This window comes from Homo sapiens, chromosome 10 (assembly GCF_000001405.40).
Source record: "Homo sapiens chromosome 10, GRCh38.p14 Primary Assembly".
Classification (NCBI taxonomy): domain Eukaryota; kingdom Metazoa; phylum Chordata; class Mammalia; order Primates; family Hominidae; genus Homo; species Homo sapiens.
The window spans coordinates 114064081-114083381 of NC_000010.11; the positions used below are offsets into that span (position 1 = coordinate 114064081).

General features: G+C 43.1%; 1 long non-coding RNA gene across 1 annotated transcript in view; it reads right to left on the minus strand.

The window, feature by feature from the left end:
• The window catches only part of LOC124902554 (uncharacterized), a 36113-nt gene extending 17119 nt beyond the window's left edge, over positions 1–18994 (minus strand). Inside the window, exon 1 of the long non-coding RNA XR_007062383.1 lies at positions 18802–18994. This is a non-coding gene — a long non-coding RNA (uncharacterized LOC124902554). The remainder of the gene's footprint in view (positions 1–18801) is intronic.
• Positions 18995–19301: the final 307 nt, after the last annotated feature.

Below are 19301 nucleotides of genomic sequence, written 5' to 3' on the forward strand. Positions count from 1 at the left end.
CCTTAATAGCTTAATAACAGATAAGAAAAATACAGATTCCAGTATTATTAAATATGTATGCATGTGTATCCATATAAGTGGTGTGTGTGTGTGAGTGGTGTATGTGTGTGTGTTCACATTCTTTCTCCTCCTAGGAAAAGATGATGCATTAGCTCAGGTGAGTTGCCCAGAAATAGCTAGGAAAAGGTCATGCTCTCCTTCTTCAGAGTTTCAGCCTGTTGTCCTCATATGCCCAATTTATGCAGGACTTTCCCCTACATCATCGAAAGAATGTGTTTGGCACCAGGGCCTTGGTATCAAGCAGACAACATATTTCTTACTTTAGAAGTGCAACTGGTAGAATAAAGAGCCTGAGAACCGGAACTGCTGCCAGAAATAGCAGGGCAAATTCACCCACTTCCAAGAAGGTCACTCAGTCTCAGAACAGGGTACAGGCAGATCGAAGCAAATTCTTGGCACCGCCTCTGCCATATCTGCCTGTTGCATAATGGACGGCCCTTAGTTCTCTTGATTGAGAGCACTGGTGTTGACCTGGCATTTTCTGTTGCTCTCTGTTATATCACTTTCCAGTCCATGTCAAAACAATCACTATTGTCAGTGACCTTCCCTAATAACTCAGTCTCTCTTCTGTATTTAACAGCTGCCTGTTGAGAATCCTATTTTTAACAAACAATTATAACCTAAGAGCTGTCATCTGTCAGGTTTTAAATGTTTGTTAAAAATAGGAGTCCCAGACATGTAGCCATTAGGCAACAGAAAGCCATAAACAATGGGAAGAGCAAGCAACAGCAGGAGACGTTAATCACATCTGAACTCATTACTAAACCTCCACTTTGGAAGGGCCATAGTCAGTGGCAAATCAGGCAGAGTTGGAGGGTGATTGCTGTTAACAGAAGCAGTTCTACTGACCTTCAGGAAATTATGTCCTGTGGACATCCTGCTCACATTAATAAATGAGAGCAATGCTCTTTTGGTGGAGGGGGAGGACCTGTCCTAGAGTAGGAATTGGAAAAATAAGATAACGTCTCAAGAATGATGCATAACTCAGGAGAGTGCTTTGAAACCATAGCTAATTTTTCCTCTTTTATTTAGCACCACCCAAACTGCTTTTAGGCATTACATCACTTGACCTAAGAGAACACTGTGAGGCAAGTACTGTGTTGTCACATTTTACTGATGAGGAAACTGAGGCTTAAAGAAGGTCAAATAACTTGCCCAAGAAGACAGAGCTGGGAAATGGCTGTATAGGACTTCAGGAACCCAGGCACTTTCCATAGAGCCCACCCTCTTAACCACTCCATTCTTTCTCCTACCTGTGACACGAAATGCCCTTTTACGAAAACTGAAGCAGAAGCACCACCTCTCCACCCCACTGCTAGACTCTCTGATTCAAGCCACACTTGGCCAGGAGGGTGGTGGCAGCCTGGGTTCTGGTCAAGACAGAGCTCTCTAAATCATCCTCCAGTTGGGGAGTGAAGGTTGCAATTTGTTCCGTGGCCTCATTCTGTCTGATTCAACACTCTGCCACGATGCCCTGAGTAAATTGTCAATGCTCAAGATGCACAAAGATGCAAGATCCAAGGATACATCTGTGTATACGTCCACCAAAGGTCATATTTTTAACTTTAATAGCTTGTTTTTACCCAGGCCCGTGACTCCTTTTCTTTTCTCATGCATGATAGAATATGTGCTTTTCTTCCTGAGCTATACCCTACCCATTTCCTTGGTCTTACCTTCATAGTATTTTTCCACTATTTCCTTTGATTTAGGGAAATTCAAATTTTCAAATCTACAGAGCCCTAGGACATGGGAGACTATTAAGTTCACTAGAGCAGAAGATCTTTAAATAGTAGCCCCTGGTAAATTGGATTCTGCATCATTAATAATCACCTGGAGGACAGAGGAAGAGAGTCCCTCTAATTGACAATCACTCAGAAATGAATATAAAACATCTCTGAAATGCTAATTGTTAAGTGTTTATTGAGGCCCATCATATGCCTTTGCTGAATACTAAAGTACCAAAACATTTCCAAAGAACTTACAGTCTGATTGTACTCCAAAGAATAGAGGTAAATATGATATTATATTATATGTAATCAAGTGTGAAAATGTGCACAATATGGTTCAATTGATGGAAGTATGTTGTATAATCATGTTTTGGTCACACACCTACAATATCAAGTGAGCTACTATTTTCTCAGTTAAAATTCAAAGTCCATAATTTTCTGTGAGAAGCTGTGACATCACAATAAAGACACTGATCAGGATTTTTTTCTTTCTGGCATTTAGATTTTTTTTTTATTTGAAGCTCTTTTAATATCTTTGAAATATTTAATAAGAAATGCAGTTACTATTAAATATGCAGTTATTAGCCACAGATAGTACTTCTCATTGTAAATAAAAGTTATTTTCCCAGCACCTACTCGCTCCTTAAATGTTATTTCAAAAATGCATTCTGTGTGATGATACTGTTCTTAGGATTTCACTTTTGGAATCCAAATAACAATAACGTTCCCTTTCTCCCCGTGAAATGCATCTGTTCGGAGCCCTGATGACACAGAAAGAATTCTCAAGGTCTCCTGGAGAAAATACTTCATCAACTTGATGGCCAACATGAGATTTTGAAGAAGGGAAGACAAGTGCAACCGGCTGAGGACGGTGCACAGAGGCCTTCTAAATTCTTCTGCAGTTTGTAGTGCTACAGATAAGTTTTTCCATGGAGCAGTCCAACCTCAGTTGCTGCAAGACCTGTTTTTTCTGTGTGTGTGTTTTTTTTAAACAAGTCAGTAAACTAACTGGAACTTCTGTCAAGTCTTGTGGCTCTGTATAAATGGGTGCAGATTTAACTTGACACATTAATTTCTTTCTAGAAAACAATTTATATTCATAGAATCATGGAATCCCAGAGAGGGAAGGGCCTTCACAGTCAGCCTGTCCAAACATCAATCTCGCGCTTGCATTGTTCACTTCAAAAGCAGTCTGTGTTCCAGAGCAGCTGCGCTCAGGCCCCGGAGGCTGGTATTTTGCATGTCCTCTGTCCCGTCGGGGCCGTTCAGGATGAACATCACTTGTTGGTGATTATTTTTGCTGGGTGGTATGGACAGATTCTGAGTGATAGGTTGGTAGTTTGTGAGGATTAGAGATTTTGAAAAACGCTATTTATAAAGAGAGATGCCAGTGTTATTATTTTCATCTCTGTGTGAGGAGTCCGAGGCCTAGAAAGACCAAATGGGCAGAGCTTGAATGCAGGCCAGGGAGGCTCCAAAGCCTACGCTCTGATGCTCTTTCTGCCAAACCACACTACTGGGATATTTTAACAAACCCGAGAAAGAATGAGGGAAAATAACTTTTTTTTTTTTTTTTTTTGAGACAGAGTTTCGCTCTTGTTGCCCAGGCTGGAGTGCAATGGCACAATCTTGGCTCTCCGTAACCTCTGCCTCCCGGGTTCAAGCGATTCTCCTGCCTCAGCCCCCTAAGTAGCTGGGATTACAGGCGCCTGCCACCACACCTGGCTAATTTTTTTGTAATTTTTGTAGAAACAGGGTTTCACCATGTTAGCCAGGCTGGTCTCGAACTCCTGACCTCAGGTGATCTGCCCACCTTGGCCTCCCCAAAGTGCTGGGATTACAGGCATGAGCCACCATGCCCAGCCTTTTTTTTGAGGCAGGGTCTCACTCTGTCACCTAGGCTGCAGTGCAGTGGAAGGATCTCAGCTTACTGCAGCCTCAACCTCCTGGGATCAAGCGATCCTCCCACCTCAGCCCCACCGAGTAGCTGGGACTACAGGTGTGTGCCACCATGCCCAGCTAATGTTTGTATTTTTTGTAGAGATGGAGTTTCGCCATGTTGCCCAGGCGGGTCTCAAACTCCCGGACTCAAGCAATCAACCCACCACTGCCCCGCAAAGTGCTGGGATTACAGGTGTGAGCTAAGGCAAAATGACTTTTTAAAAAATAGATTAAAATGTATTGGTAGCATGGAGAACTAGAAACTGATTTTGGGGGGCGGGGGGTCACCCAGTAGCTACAGATATCTACCTCCCCTGCCCTGTATTTCTACATTTTTCTTTTCTCTATAGAAAAGTCTATACTTTAAAAAATTCCAGCATGTAGTTTCATTTTCAGTTTCCCCTAAATGTATGCAGATTTGACAGATCCCTTTGCCAGCCACCCATGAAATCAGATGAGTAATTTCAAATTGCAGGGCTGGAAAAATGACCAGCACAGAATAAAGACATCAGCTGGCAGCCGCAAAAGACAGATCTCAAAAATGAGGAGCAGTAGCTGAGAGGCTAAGAGAATCTGTCCTAGCCACAAGAGCTTGGAAAACAGAGGAAGTTGAATCAGGTAGATTGCTGTGAGTGGGAGACTAGGGAGGAATTAAATCTTGGAGTGCCCAATAACTGTTTGGTGTCAGCTCTTGACAGAACGCAAGCTCCCACATGCCCGGTGACCAAGCAAATTAAGACAGTCCTGGCTCAGGCTGCCGACAGGAACAAGAGAGAGAAATCTGATGTCAGAATAAAGGCCTCATTGGCAAATTAAGCTGAATCAAGGTGAAACGACAGCATGGCAGAAACTTACTTGTAATTTGCCTGCCTTTAGTCTATACTCCCAAATCTTACACATGTGCAGTAAAATATTTTTTCACTAGGAACTGTTATGCTGATTTTATAGAAAACACATGGAAGACAGATCCCCAAAGAGGGAGAAGAAACATGACAGTGATGAAAAGAAAACAAGGTCCGTGGCTGGTGACAACCAGACGTTACCAACAGCAGCATCAGGAGGTTTCTGTTCGATGGATGGTTCATTTTCATCCAAGAATTAAACAAAGGAACATCAGATTTTATTTTTGAACATTGGAGTTTATGATTGTTTCCTTCCAATAACAGCTACTTCATTCATGGTTCCACCCATCCATCATTTGGTTCTGTTGAACTCAACTAGGTTTTCCTTTTCCTTAACATTTTACATTTTGTTAAACAGAAAAGTGAAGAGAACAGAAAAGTAACCATAATTAGAAACAGATATCTATATACCTGCCACCTACTGGAGTTGATTAATATTGACATTTGGCCATATTCACTTCAGAGCTTTTAAATGTTTTTTGTTGTTGTTGTTGTTGTTTATGTTTTTGTTGTTGTTGTTGTTATTTTAGTTTGTTGAGATGGAGTCTGTCTCTGTCGCCCAGGCTGGAACCAGTGGCATGATCTCGGCTCACTGCAACCTCTGCCTCCCGGGTTCAAGCAATTCTCTTACCTCAGCCTCCCGAGTAGCTGGGACTACAGGCATGTGCCACCACGCCCGGCTAATTTTTGTATTTTTAGTAGAGACGGGGTTTCACCGTATTGGCCAGGCTGGTCTCGAACTCCTGACCTCATGATGTACCCGCCTTAGCCTCCCAAAGTGCTGGGATTACAGGCATGAGCCACCACGCCCGGCCCTAAATGTATTTTAAAAAATAAAGACAAGTTGAAGCTCCTTGGTTTCTTACCCTGTACTAGTCTCCTTTTTTCCTCCCCAGAGCCAGTCTCTATCATGAATTCAGTAGGTTTCCTTTACCAAGTTGTCATACCTGTTAATATATATATATATGTGTGTGTATATATGCACTATACACACATACACATGGATACATCATAGAATATTGTCTTGTTACTAATTTGTTTGTTTTTTTTTTTTGAGACAGGGTCTTGCTGTGTCCCCCGGGCTGGAGTGCAGTGGCTGGATCATCACTCACTCCAACCTCCACCTCCCCAGCTCAAGCGACCCTCCCACCCCAGCTTCCCAAGTCGCTGGGACTACAGGCACACACCCCCGACTGGCTAATTTTTTGTATCTTTTGTAGAGACAGGGTCTCACTATGTTGCCCAGGTTGATCTCAAACTTCTGAGCTCAAACCATCCACCCACCTTAGCCTCTCAAAGCTTTAGGATTACCGGTGTGAGCCACTGCACCTGGCTTTGTCTTATTATTTTTAAAATTAATTATTACTTTTAGCATATTGTAGATATTAATCCATAGCCACATCATAGTATAGGCATGAATCTACAACTTGCTATTTTTCAGCCAATCCATTTTGAAATCCATTTTTCTACATCATATGGAGACCACTAGTTTTGAGAACTTTAAAAAAGATGATTCCCACAGGGCAAATGTTCCTATTAGGTAATAAAAGATTCAGGTGATGAGTATTATGGACAAAAGGAAGACATTAACTGCACCTCACAGAGTATCATGAGGATCTCTGATTGATCAAATTAAAAAATCAAATTAAGAAGCACAACATTTTTTAAAATTGCAGTGAGTACTAATCAGCCTTGATATGTTTGTTATGGAGCTATTTTATTGAAATAAAAGTGCTTTGAAGATGAAAAGCACATTTTTTTTCTTTCCCAGAATTAAATCATTTCATCCCTCCCTCAGGCTACAAAGTTCATTCAAGTAGAAAAAAGTAAATGCTCCAGTTCTTTTCTTTTTCTTTTTTTTTCTTTTGAGATGGAGTCTCACTCTGTCACCCAGGCTGGAGTGCAGTGGCACGATCTTGGCTCACTGCAACCTCCACCTTCCCAGTTCAAGCGATTCTCCTGCCTCAGCCTCCCAAGTAGTTGGGATTACAGGTGCCTGCCACGATGCAATTTTTGTATTTTTAGTAGAGACAGGGTTTCACCATGTTGGCCAGGCTAGTCTCGAACTCCTGACCTCAAGTGATCCGCCAGCCTTGGTAGTTCTTTTCTTATGGAGTTTCAGCTGACTTATATTAAGGCTTACTTGCTTTCTCTTTTCATTTCTGACCACAGTTTGTAACTTCCCTGCACTGAAAGATACTCTTTTTCCACCCCTTAAAGCATGCAAAGTAATGGTCGGAAGGGAGGGCTCATTAACGTTTTTCATTTTTTTCCTGTGGTTTCCTCTCATTATTTCATTGCCTAGGCAATATTTTTTAAAAGACCTCATGCTGGTGAACAGAAGTTGACATAAAAGAGCATAACAACTTTTTTGGAGTCTCAAGGTCTGTGATGTAAATACCCCAATTTGTTTTTCAAAGGTTTTCATAATCCATTGTATAAATACACATATTTACATAATTTCCAAAACATGTACTTTGCAGCCACAGTCCTTCCAGCATTATCTATTAATAAGGAGTCACATGTAGATGTGGATTTGCAAGCTTGAATTCCAACACATCACTTTATCATTTTCAAATTTCGTGAGCGCTGGAACTTAGTGGGCAGACTTCCCCATCTCACTTCAAGAAAACATCTGAAGGGTGTCATCCACTTTGGAGGGAACAAGACACCCCAGTTTCGATAAACTTGACCTCTGTGGGATTATACCAGAGAGGGAACTGCTCAAACTGAGCAGAGGGAATGGGTGTCTGTAGGCACTGAACTTTAAGCTTGTCCTTCTAAGGTAACATTTGCAATTCTTTCTATGATGCACTTTTTATTTTGTCCCCTAACTTCTGACGAAGGCCATGGGTATGTCAGTGGAAGTCAATAAAGGTGGCACATAGGTCATTGGAAAAATGGAGGGTATTTTCTATATTTGAGTGGTTTTCAGTGGGCTTCTTCCACCCTTGCTTGAGGCCGAGGAGCTTAGAGAGGATGGGAGGAGTTTAGAGGTGGGGACAGGGCTGCCAACAGTTTGAATTTTGCTTAACTTTGGCTGGTTGGAAGGCAGAGCACCCAAAGGAGACCTCTTTGGGTATTTCCAGATTCCCATCTGTGGCTGAAACCAAAGAACAAGGGTACCAGAGACCCTTTGGTCAAGTCCTCTGCGACGCCTTCACAGGACATTTTACTTGGCCCTCTGTCAGTTTCTCCTAATAAAAATCCTTTTTTATTTTTTGCTTCAACAATCTAGGTCATTTGCTGGTATCTCCTAGGCTTTCCAATTCGACAGAAGGGTCTTCTCTTTACCCTCAGAGCATTTTCATTTTTTACTATATTGAATTTCTTTGGTATATTACCTTTTATAATAGCTTCTCTTATTGCAATGTATCTGACTAGTGTTTTCTCTGCATTTTCATCTTTAAAAGAATTAAATAGAGAAGAGTAAGAATAAGGGGAAGAATTTCAAACAAGGGAGGCCCGAGGCCATTTTCCCCGCAGTGAGCTCTGCCCCACTGAGTTCTTCCCTGTCGGGGATCTCTCATTTCAGTTTCAGATGGTCCCCTTGACCTTGAAGACAGCCCTCTGGGAAAAGCTCTTAGTCTTACACCTAAAATTATTATTCTTGGCAGTTCGGTGGGGAAAGAGGCTGAAATATTCCCCTTGGGGAGCTGTAACCCCAGCCCCAAAGATGGCTTAGTGGGGCCTATAACACTCTTATCTTCAGATGATTAAGCTTGCGAATTAAAATTCTTGATTTCTCATATGCATAAGTTTCTCACACTGAGGTGACTGCGGGGAATTCTGGGTAGTGTCCCTCTATCCCTCCAGATCCACTTCCCCCTCTTCTCCTTCCATTCAAATCTGGCCTTTGGAAAGCTCAAGGTAGGCAAAAGTATATCCTTAAACATCCAGCCCCTTGATACCATCGTCATCCTCATCGTGAAACCTTTATTAAGCACCTGGACTCCTACAATACGAAGAAGTACGAGGGGCAATCCCTGCCCCAAAGGTGTCTCTAACGACATGTGACCACAAGACACACATCTATCAGCATAAAATGAAAAAATAGCTTTAAGGAGAATTATGTGGGCAATAAATATTGCAGGAGTTCAGGGAAGGGAGAAAAGACTGCAGCTGGGGGTAGACAAAAGTGATCTCATCAGTGAGATGGGTTTTGGGAAATGGCAGGCTTGAGACTAAGGCCTGTCATTGTAGCACTTTGGGAGGCCAAGGCCGATGGATCACTTGAGGTCAGGAGTTCGTTGGCCTGGCCAACATGACAAAACCCTGTATCTACTAAAAATACAAAAATTAGCTGAGCGTGGTGGCGCACACCTGTAGTCCCAGCTACTTGGGAGGCTGAGTCAGGAGAATCGCTTGAACCCAGGAGGCAGAGGCTGCAGTGAGCTGAGATCGCACCACTGCACTCCAGCCTGGGCGACAGAGTATCTATTCTTCCAAGGAGTATTGTGTGAAAAAAGGCATAGAGGCAGAGGGGCACTGGTGCATCTGAGGCCAGTTAACAGGCCAGAGTTTGACACTGCAGGTGTGTTTTACCCGAAGGGCAAGGACTGCCTCCTTTCTCTAGGTGCTGTATAATGTCCAGGCTATTTGGTGTACCTGGGAATGTTAAATAACAGTGTCTGGGGCTTTGACAAGGAAACAAAAGTTACCTTTGTCTTCTGCCTGAGTTGCAAAGAGCAGTATGTTTTTAGCTTGGAAAATATTGAGAACTTGTTTCTTTTAGCTTACTTATTCTCACTTATCCTGGTAACACTGATGCATTTTTTTCATGTTTTAAAATTAATACATTCAGTGATATGCGTGTATTATACACAGGAAAATTCACTCTTTTTAGCATATGCCTTCTTGCGAATTTTGACAAATGCATACAGTCACGTAACCATGACCACAATCAAAATATCGAGCAGTTCCATCATGCAAAAAATTCCCCTGTGTCCTTTGCAGGCAACCCTTTTCCTCACCTCCAGGCTCGGGCAGCGATGGATCTATTTTCTGTCCCTACAATTTTGCCTTTCCCAAAATGTCATATAAATGAAATCACACACCCTGTGACTTTTGAGTCTGGCTTTCTTTTTTTTTTCTTTCTTTCTTGTTTTCTTTTTTTGTATTTCTTCATTTTAATTTATTTTTCATTTTTGTTTCTCACTTACCAACACGTGTAAAATGTAGCAGATGCGTTAGTAAAGAAGAAGCAGCTGGGGAGAGAAAGGCAGGAATTAAGCAGCCACACATGAAGAGTCAGGTTGAGCAGGAAGTGATTGGGGGCAGCGGTGGCAGGCGTCCTCCTCCCCGCCCCACCTTCCCACAAAGCACCAGCAACTGCTGCTGCTCACAGCCCTTGAGTCTGGCTTTCTTCACTTAGCATAATGCATTTGAGATTCGTCCACATCGTTGCATGTCTCAGTAGCTCATTACTTTTTGTTGCTGAGTAGTGTTCCATTGCACAGATGTACCGAAGTGTGTTTATCTATACACAAATTGAAGGACATTAAGTTTGTCTCTACATTTTTTGCATTTACAAATAAAGCTGCTGAAAGCATTCACATGCAGGTTTTTTGTTTGTCTGTTTGTTTGTTTGTTTGTTTTTGAGAGAGAGTCTCCCTCTGTTGCTCAGCCTGGAGTGCAATGGCGTGACCTTGGCTCACTGCAACCTCCGCCTTTCAGGTTCAAGGGATTCTCCTGCCTGAGCCTCCCAAGTAGCTGGGATTACAGGCATGAGCCACCACGGCCGGCTAATTTTTGTATTTTTAGTAGAGGCAGGGTTTCTCCATGTTGGCCAGGCTAGTCTTGAACTCCTGACCTCAGGTGATCTGCCTGCCTCAGCCTCCCAAAGTGCTGGGATTACAGGCATGAGCCACCACGCCCGGCCACATGCAGGTTTTTATGTGAACCTAAGTTTTCATTTCACTCGTGTACATACTTAGGGAGTGAATTAAGTGTGTGGCTTCCGGGTCATCTAAGTATATGTTTAGTTTTATAAGAAACTGCCCATGCCTATAATCCCTGCACTTTGGGAAGCTGAAGCAGGATTTCTTGCGCCTAAGAGTTCAAAACCAGCCAAGAAACATGGCAAGATGTTGTCTCTACAAAAAATTTAAAAATTAGCCAGCCATGGTGGCACATGCCTGGAGTCCCAGCTACTCAGGAGGCTGAGGCTGCAGCGAGCCATATTGACACCACTGCACTCCAGCCTGGGCAACAGAGGGAGAGTTTGTCTCAAAAAAAAAAAAAGAAAGAAAGAAAGAAAGAAAAAGAAAAGAAACTGCCCAACTGTTTTCTAAAGTGACTGTGCTGTTATTCATTCTCCCAGCAGTGTAGAAGACCTCCAGTTTCTCTGCGTCCTTGCTGGCACTTGGTCATTTAAATACCTTTTAGCTATTCTAATAAGTGGGGCTTTAGTTTACATTTTAGTTTGCATGATGGTGAGCATCTTTCCATCAAACTGGTAAGTTTTTATTAGTAATTCTACCACATAATAATAATTCCACCACAATTGTAATTAACCATTCCATTACAGCAGTGGTTCTCACTGGCACCAGTTCCGCTCCTCTTCCCGGACATTTCGCAATGTCTGGAGGCATTTTTAGCTGCCACCATTGGGGGCATGCTATTGGCATTGAGTGGGTAGAGGCCAGGGGTGCTGCTAGCCATCCTACAATGCCCAGGACAGCCCCAACAACAACGTGTCACCCATCCCAAAATGTCAGTAGTGCCCAGACCGAGAAGCCCTGCACTAGAGGGTTGTCAGAAAGATTCAGACGTGGGCCACCCTGAAAACTGTGGGAGCTCCCCTCATGTTATAGTCATTTATACTAAATAAAAACTGACTTAGAAAACAATTTTCCAATTGATCTCAGGCCATTTTTTTTCCTGAGACAGAGTCTCGCTCTGTTGCCAAGGCTGGAGTGCAGCAGCATAATCTCGACTCACTGCAACCTCTGTCTCCTGGGTTCAAGTGATTTTCCTGCCTCAGCTTCCTGAATAACTGGGATTACAGGCACCCACCACCACAACTGGCTAATTTTTGTATTTTTAGTAGAGACAGCATTTCACCACGTTGGCCAGGCTGGTCTCGAACCCCTGGTCTCAAGTGATCAGCCCGCCTCGGCCTCCGAAAGTGCAGGGATTGCAAGCATGAGCCACCATGCCTGGCCGATCTTAAGCCTTCTTTTTAACTGCCAGGGACTCTCACAGGTTGATAGATTCATAGCCCTCAGCTTGTTCCTTGCCACCATGATCTCTCTCCCGAGTTTAGACACATGCGCTTGCTAACTTAGGTATTTGGTCCTCCTCTGATGTGAAGACATGTCACATCATTGCGGGTTGGGGTTTTCCTTTGCAACAGAGTTCATTTTAATGGTGAGATTTTATATTATCAAATTTTGGCCCAAAGTAAGTTATGTTTGCATCATAAATCCTTGAAAATGGTTACAATTTACTACCAAAAAGGCAACTCACTTTTCCTCTCTGCATCTCAGTTCCTCTGCTTGTGAAGTGAGTCTCAGGGGGCAGCTGATCTTTGAGGCCACGGGGAACTCTCACTCTCACGTGCTTTGATTCTACCGAGATCATTGAGTGCCACTCCGCCATCCAACAACATAATGAAATGGTTCATGTGCCATTTGTTGGCACCAAAGGTCTACATTGATTTGAAAACCCTAGCCTCCAAACATCCAAAAAATAAATGTTATGAGGTAAGCAAGAAGGCATGATTTGCCTAGGACAAATTTGGTTTCCTTCTAACACTCCTTATAGATTCCAGTAATTTTTAGATTTCAGTTTTTGCTTAAGTTCAGAAATAGAGCCATTTCCAGGCCATGCTGGGGAGCCCCGAATGGGTATAGAAAGAGCAGCAAGGCAGAAAGACAAGTAACCACCTACTTGCTCTAGCTAAATACTGCTTTACAATGTATGTCTTATTCTACTTGCCACTAATGCAAAGTAATAACTTCATTCAACAAATACTTACCATGTATCTACTCTGTTTTCAGTGTTGTGGCAGAGACTTTGGTAGACACCAAAGAAGACCAACTATGGCCTTCCAGAGTCTGTCTTGACATAGGGAAACACCATCACCCTGAATCCTTAGACCATTAGCTAATGATTTACAAAGGCTACTCCTGAGAGGTTCGTGTCCCTAGAGCAGACGTCTACACACAGGAGGCCCTGGGTAAATGTTTCATTGATGAAATGATGGACACTGCATTAATTCGTTTTCACACTTCCCATAAAGACATACCTGAGACTGGGCAGTTTACAAAAGAAAGAGGTTTAATGGACGTACAGTTCCACATGGCTGGGGAGGCCTCACCATCATGGTGGAAGGTAAAAGGCATGTCTCACATGGCGGTGGACAGAAGAGAGCTTGTGCAGGGAAACTCCCCTGTTTAAAACCATCAGATCTCATGAGACTTATTCACTATCACGAGAACAGCACGGGAAAGAGCTGCCCCCATGATTCAATTACCTCCCACTGGGTCCCTCCCACAGCATGTGGGAATTCAAGATGAGATTTGGTTGGGGACACAGCCAAACCATATCAGATGCCAAGCAGTGCTTCTCAAACTATCTGTGGCAGAGGATCATTTTCAGTATTTCTAATCCATGGAGACTAATGCCTAGGTAAAACACAGTAAAAATGTGCTTGGATGTCCCAGCAATGCCAAATTGTTATGCAAGGTTTTCAATGCTTTCTCAGTCTCTGTGTTTATTTCATTGTAGACTTAAAAAAAAATCTCACAGCCCAGTACTGGTCACAGATGAGGCTTCAGCAGTAAAAGAAAAGAGGGCACATTCTGCCTGAAGTAATCAAGGATGTGTGAACTCACAATTCACATGTCCTGCACCCACTAAGTCTGAGGTCTTATGCAAGTAAGGAACTGAAACAATCAGAACGACTCCCAGGCCTCAAATACCATCCAGATGTAATCTTGCTTCTCCCAAATGCTCTTCCTCTCAAAATCTGTTTTCTGTTCAGGCATTGGATGAGGTAGAAATAAAGGCAGGAAAGGAAGGAAGAAGAAAGGCAGGTGTGGGACCCTGGGGTGGCCAATTCCCATGCAGAGGGATGTCAAAGGGGTGTTGCCAGCGACCCACGGTGGCTCTCCCTCACTCCAGTTCCTTCAGAGCACCTTGCACTTATCTATCCATGGGCGCAGATCACACCTCTAGGAGCTGAGAGTTTTAGGCTGCAGTTCTCACACCTCCCTGCTTAGTCATGGGGCAGTACCTGTCACATCACATCACCGCCAGGCCACTCTCGGAAGGGATTCCAGACACTGACCTACAGCCTCATGGTTCTCTAATTTGCGTTTCTAGCTCACTGAAGCAGCCAGTTCACGGCAATCAAAGATTCCCCTGCTCCCCTTCCATCTTACCTCCTGCCCCTGCCAGCCCCAGTCACCACAAGGTGGCCATGACTTTCTTTCCCTCTCAGTCTGTAGCCAGCCGCAAACCAGTGACCTAGAGAGGTGTCACCGCCTCCCACGAACAGCTCTGGCACTCAGCTTTCTGTGGAAAGCATTTTATTTTAAGAAACAGAGCAAACTGTCATTGTAAGACCTCTTCTACAACTTGGGATGAAAGTTCGTCACAAAACAAAGTGCCTGCTGAAAGAGGACAGGAATAAGAGGTCAGCATTGTTAACTCCATGATCAAGCCACATGCGCTGAGAAAAATCGACACGTGAAAATTCCTCTGTATGTCTCAAAATCTTTTTGCAGATGGTGCTGATTTTTTTGCAGGACATGGTAACAGAGAAATCCTCTGCTAAGTGAGCCATTATGTAAACTGTTCTCATGAAAGAATATGACAAACAAATATTCACCAGACTTAGGTCATGGGTGTAGTGCTTTTAGTGATAGTATCAGCATTGCGTTTTCTTCATTACTCAAGGAAACAGAGAATTAATTTGACCTAGAAAGAAAGTTGTCATATAGAGGTACCAAACATCGTACTTCTTAACACTTTGACATAAACTCTGAGTAAACGATATTAAAGTTGAATGACATTATTTTGAGAAACAGTTACTGGAATTGCCTCTCAGCTGTTCTTCCTACTTCTGCTCTCCTCTGACTTCCATCTACCCTGCATATTAAATTAATCTTCCTAAAATACTCCTCTCTGTCCCTCTCTTGCTCCTGAATCTACAATGGCAGCCAATGGAGTCAGCACCTTGTAGAGCAGAAGGAAACTTAGCCATGCTCTCCAGCCTCCTTACTTGCAAAGTGGGGAAGTGAAGACCCAGAAAAAGTGGTTTCCTCACTGTCATTGAGCTAGTAATTGACAGAAATAAGAACTAGAACTTCAATTTTTTTATCTCTTTTTTTTCTTTTTTCTTTTTCTTTCCTTTTCTTTTTTTTTTTTTTTTTTTGAGACGGAGTCTTGCTTTGTCGCTTTGTCGCCCAGGCTGGAGTGCAGTGGCGCGATCTCAGCTCACTGCAACCTCTGCTTCCCGGGTTTGAGTGATTCTCCTGCCTCAGCCTCCTGAGTAGCTGGGACTACAGGGGCTCACCACACGCCCTGCTAATTTTTGTATTTTTTGTAGAGAAGGGGTTTCACTATGTTGGCTAGGCTGGTCTCGAACTCCTGATCTCAAGTGATCCGCCCGCCTCGGCCTCCCAAAGTGCGGGGATTACAGGTGTGAGTCACTGTGCCTGGCCTAGAATTTCAAATTCAGGGCATGATTATTTTTTCTGCCTTAATTCCTCTAATAAGCTTTCAAAGCACAGTTTGACCCCCGCATTTCTACAGAACATCGTTTCTCTACCTGAGCTCCCAGCTCCCCATCTCTGCTATGCACTGAACTTCCCCAGCCCTTCCTCTAGCCCTGGGTTTCTGCTGGAGCTTCAACCCAAAGTTTCCCCGCCCTACTGCCCTGTGACCTGAAATACAGCTGGGTTCATTTGTTTCTATTCCACCCACTCCTCCATGAGGCCCAGCCCAAGAACTCCAGTGACCTCTTCCTGGCACTTTTTGTACTCCATTGTCTGTACTTCGCTGCCGGCATTCACTCACATGCTGGTTAGTTCACTAAGTGTTTTTGGGTCTTTTCTTCTTAACACCATAGATTTATGGGACATTAGAGTGGAAGGTATCTAGAAGTCATCCAGTTTGACCCCATGCCTCTTACACAGTTGTCCTGTACCACCTTGCTGATACCAAGAAGGTGAAAATGAAGATCTGACCGCAAACTGCCCATTCCAAGTTAGACAACTTTCCTTTTCAGACAGCACTTCCTTGTGTTGAGACAAAAATGTCCTTCCCACCCATCTTCACCCAAACTGACCCTGTTTCTGCACTCCAGATGGATATAGAATAAATCAAATCCCTCTTCCATGTTTAAATCCCTCTGCATACATTTAAAGACAATTTGTGTGCGTCCTCCATTCTCTTAGCCCCTTCTCTTTCCCAGGAGTCTCTCTTCCAGTCCAAATAATCCTGGTCCTCCCATTCTGCCCATGACATGGTTTTGCATGCTGCACACGGTACTCCAAAATTATGGCCAAAAGATGTTGGCCAAATACCAAAAATTTGAACATAGGACAATAGTCCCCTGAAGGCTGAAGAGAGTGGCTCATTCACCTCCCTTGTTCTAAGTACTGTGTCTCTACTAATGTATCCTGCACACTCACTACATTTCTGGAGGGCATTTCACACTGAGGATTTACAGTAGGCTTATTCAACCAAAATTTATCATCAGGGTACATCTTCCCTTTTTAAGGTGTGTGTGGTTATATTTTCAGATTTTTTTTTCAGAATGCTTATTTATTCTTGTTCAACTAATCTCTGCTTTCTTTCATTCAATGAGGCATTATCGAATGCATTGGAACCTGGTAAAAAACAAGGAAGAATCAGATGCTGGTTTTTATTAAAACGTGCTCATTATAGGTAAGGTAAGACTTCCATAAAGAATTTTATTCTAACATAAACATGAATGTGCTTTTAATGAGTTTTAGTTACAGTACCATGGAAATTCAGAGGAAATGAGATTGCTGTGATCAGGAGAGAGGGAGGATAGAAGGCCTCATGGAGAAGAGGTAAGATTTTAATATACAAAAGTTATGGGAAAGAAATTCTCTGTGACTAGAACAGGATGAGCAGAGCTACAGAGGCAAGAAATCAAAGAATAGCAGCTAAAGTTCAGAGAGGTGAGGAGGGAAAGCATGAGTTTCACTGCTGTCTCTGATTCCAGGCCAGTCTCACCGGGTTCTTCCTTAATTTCCTCCCTTCCAAATTTGCACATCCCTTCTTCCATGGTGAGGACTTATTTCCAAAACATTAACATATTTACTCGTGTGCTCAATTCTGCAACACCCATTGCCACCTTCACATCACTGCACAGAACAAACCTACTAAAAAGAGTGCAAGATTGGTTTGCACTTCTTTTATTTTCCTAGACTGGAGTCTAATGGTTAAAGTACTTTGTTCAAAAATTACCTGGGGAGCTGAGTACAATGGCTTATGCCTGTAGTCCCAGCTACTTGGGAGGCTGAGGTGGGAGGATCACCCGAGCCCAGAAGTTCAAGGCTGCAGTGAGCTATGATCACACCACCACACTCCAGCCCTGGTAACAGAGCCAGATCCAATTTCTTAAAAAAAAAAAAAAAATTAATTACATGGATTAGTTCTCTCCCTCCTGCACCTTTATTCAGCCTATTATTCATTTGAAATACAGCTGGGTTCATTTGTTTCTATTTGCATTTTGTTTGAGTTTTCCCCCTTCATCTTTCGTGATTTAACTTTATTTTTTTTGAATATGCAGAACATTCATGTGCTTGACCAGAGACTTTATTTTGTGTATCTTTGGTAGCTTACTACCATCTGGAGCATTCGTAGTATGTCATGGCAGTTGTTTTTTGATTGACTGATTATTGAATAGACAGTTGAAAATTGTATGTAACAGAGATGCCTGTTATTGAGAGGATCTTACATCAAGGTCCTATAAGCTCATGCCTTTGATGCCCAATCATGACAAAGTCTGATGTGTCCAGAAAGCCTCAAGCTATTCAAGGATGTGTACCCAGATGGCAGCCCTAGTATCTCCCAAAGGAAAGGTCCTCCATCTGGGATGCCATTCAATGGTACCCTGGAGAAATCTGTCCTGGGGCTTTGTCCTTGATGGACTAGTAGCTGTTGAAAGATTTGTAGAAGCAGCACCCGCATAATAAATGTCTGAAATGACTGCTGCTCCTTCTGCTGTGGGCAAGGTGACAGACAAGAAGAAAACGTTAACCTTCCTTAGAAGTTAAGACGTATCTGTTTATACACTGCATTTCTTAGGTGCAAATAGGACACCTATTTTTGAGAAACCTGGCAACTAAACTGCAGCCAGGTTGGCCTCTCAGTGGAGAAGAAATAAAAAAGATATGACTCATTAAACAAATAACTCTGAGTAAAAGGACCCTAGTGAATACAGAGTCTATTTGTTTTATTTTTAAATTACATTTATCAGTCATTACAAATATAATCATTAACAGATTATTTACATAATTGGTTGTAAAATGCAAACCCAGGGCCAAAAGGCAAACTAGTTTTTCAGTTACCAAACACAATACCCTGAAATTACAAAGAAATGCGGATGCAGTTCCATACATTAAGGCTGATGGTCCCCCTTTACTCTCTATGGAAAGAAAAGAAAACGTGTGCAAGGTCATTGGTGGCATCTCGAAATGTGCTTTGTCATGGGCCTTATACCGGCACTGCCTCGGGAGTTGGGCTGCTCGGCTGGAATGATTCCTGAGGACCAAGCTCACTCCAGTAGCTGGGGGGCTACAGTGACATGAACCTTTTAGTAGTTCAGCTGGTACACAGGTTCCTCCCTAAAGTCCTCAAACTTTCTCACTGGAGAGAATACTGGTGGATAATTAGTAAACTTCTCTCCTGTGAATGTTGCAAAACACGTATCTGGCTTCATGATGCAATTAGAGGGAAAAGGAACTCATCAACAGCTTCCATTTTTACCTGGACAAGATCTCCAATCTACAGATGAAACTGGATTCAAAGGGAGATTAAATGCCTAACCTGAATCACAGCGTGAGATCTAGATTTAGCTACTCTGTACTATTTTTCATTCTTGAACCATACCAAAATGTAGTGGCTTAGAACGACAACAGATCTGCTCAGGATTGCAATGGGTTAGCAGTGTGGGCTGGGCTTACCTAGTGGTTCTTCTGCTGGTTGTGCCTGATGGTTCATGCTGCCGAAGCCATCTATCTGGCAGTTCAGCTGAGCCTGGGTGGAGGGGTGGGGTCTAATATGGCCTCACACACATGTCTAGAGGTTGGTGTTGGCTGTCAGCTGGTCATGTTTCATCACCTGGAGGTAGCATTCTGAAAGGGCAAGCCCCAAAACACAAGCGTTCTTCAAGCTGCGTCTTATATCAAGCTTGCTGACATCCCATTGGCCAAAGCAAGTCACATGGCCAAATTTCAAGTCCTCATGGGAGGAGACTACCAAGGCTGTGGAGGTGGAATTCACTGGGAACAATAACTGTGATAACCTACAACACAGAGTCTTATAAGGAGACAGGCTATCTGCATTAAAATCAAAACCACAGTGCAAGGCTTACGTGGCTTCTCAAGGCTCCAAGCCAGGGCGCTTTCTCCCACCCCACCTCCTCTCTGTCCTCACCAGTCCCGTTCTGATTTCCTGGTTAGTG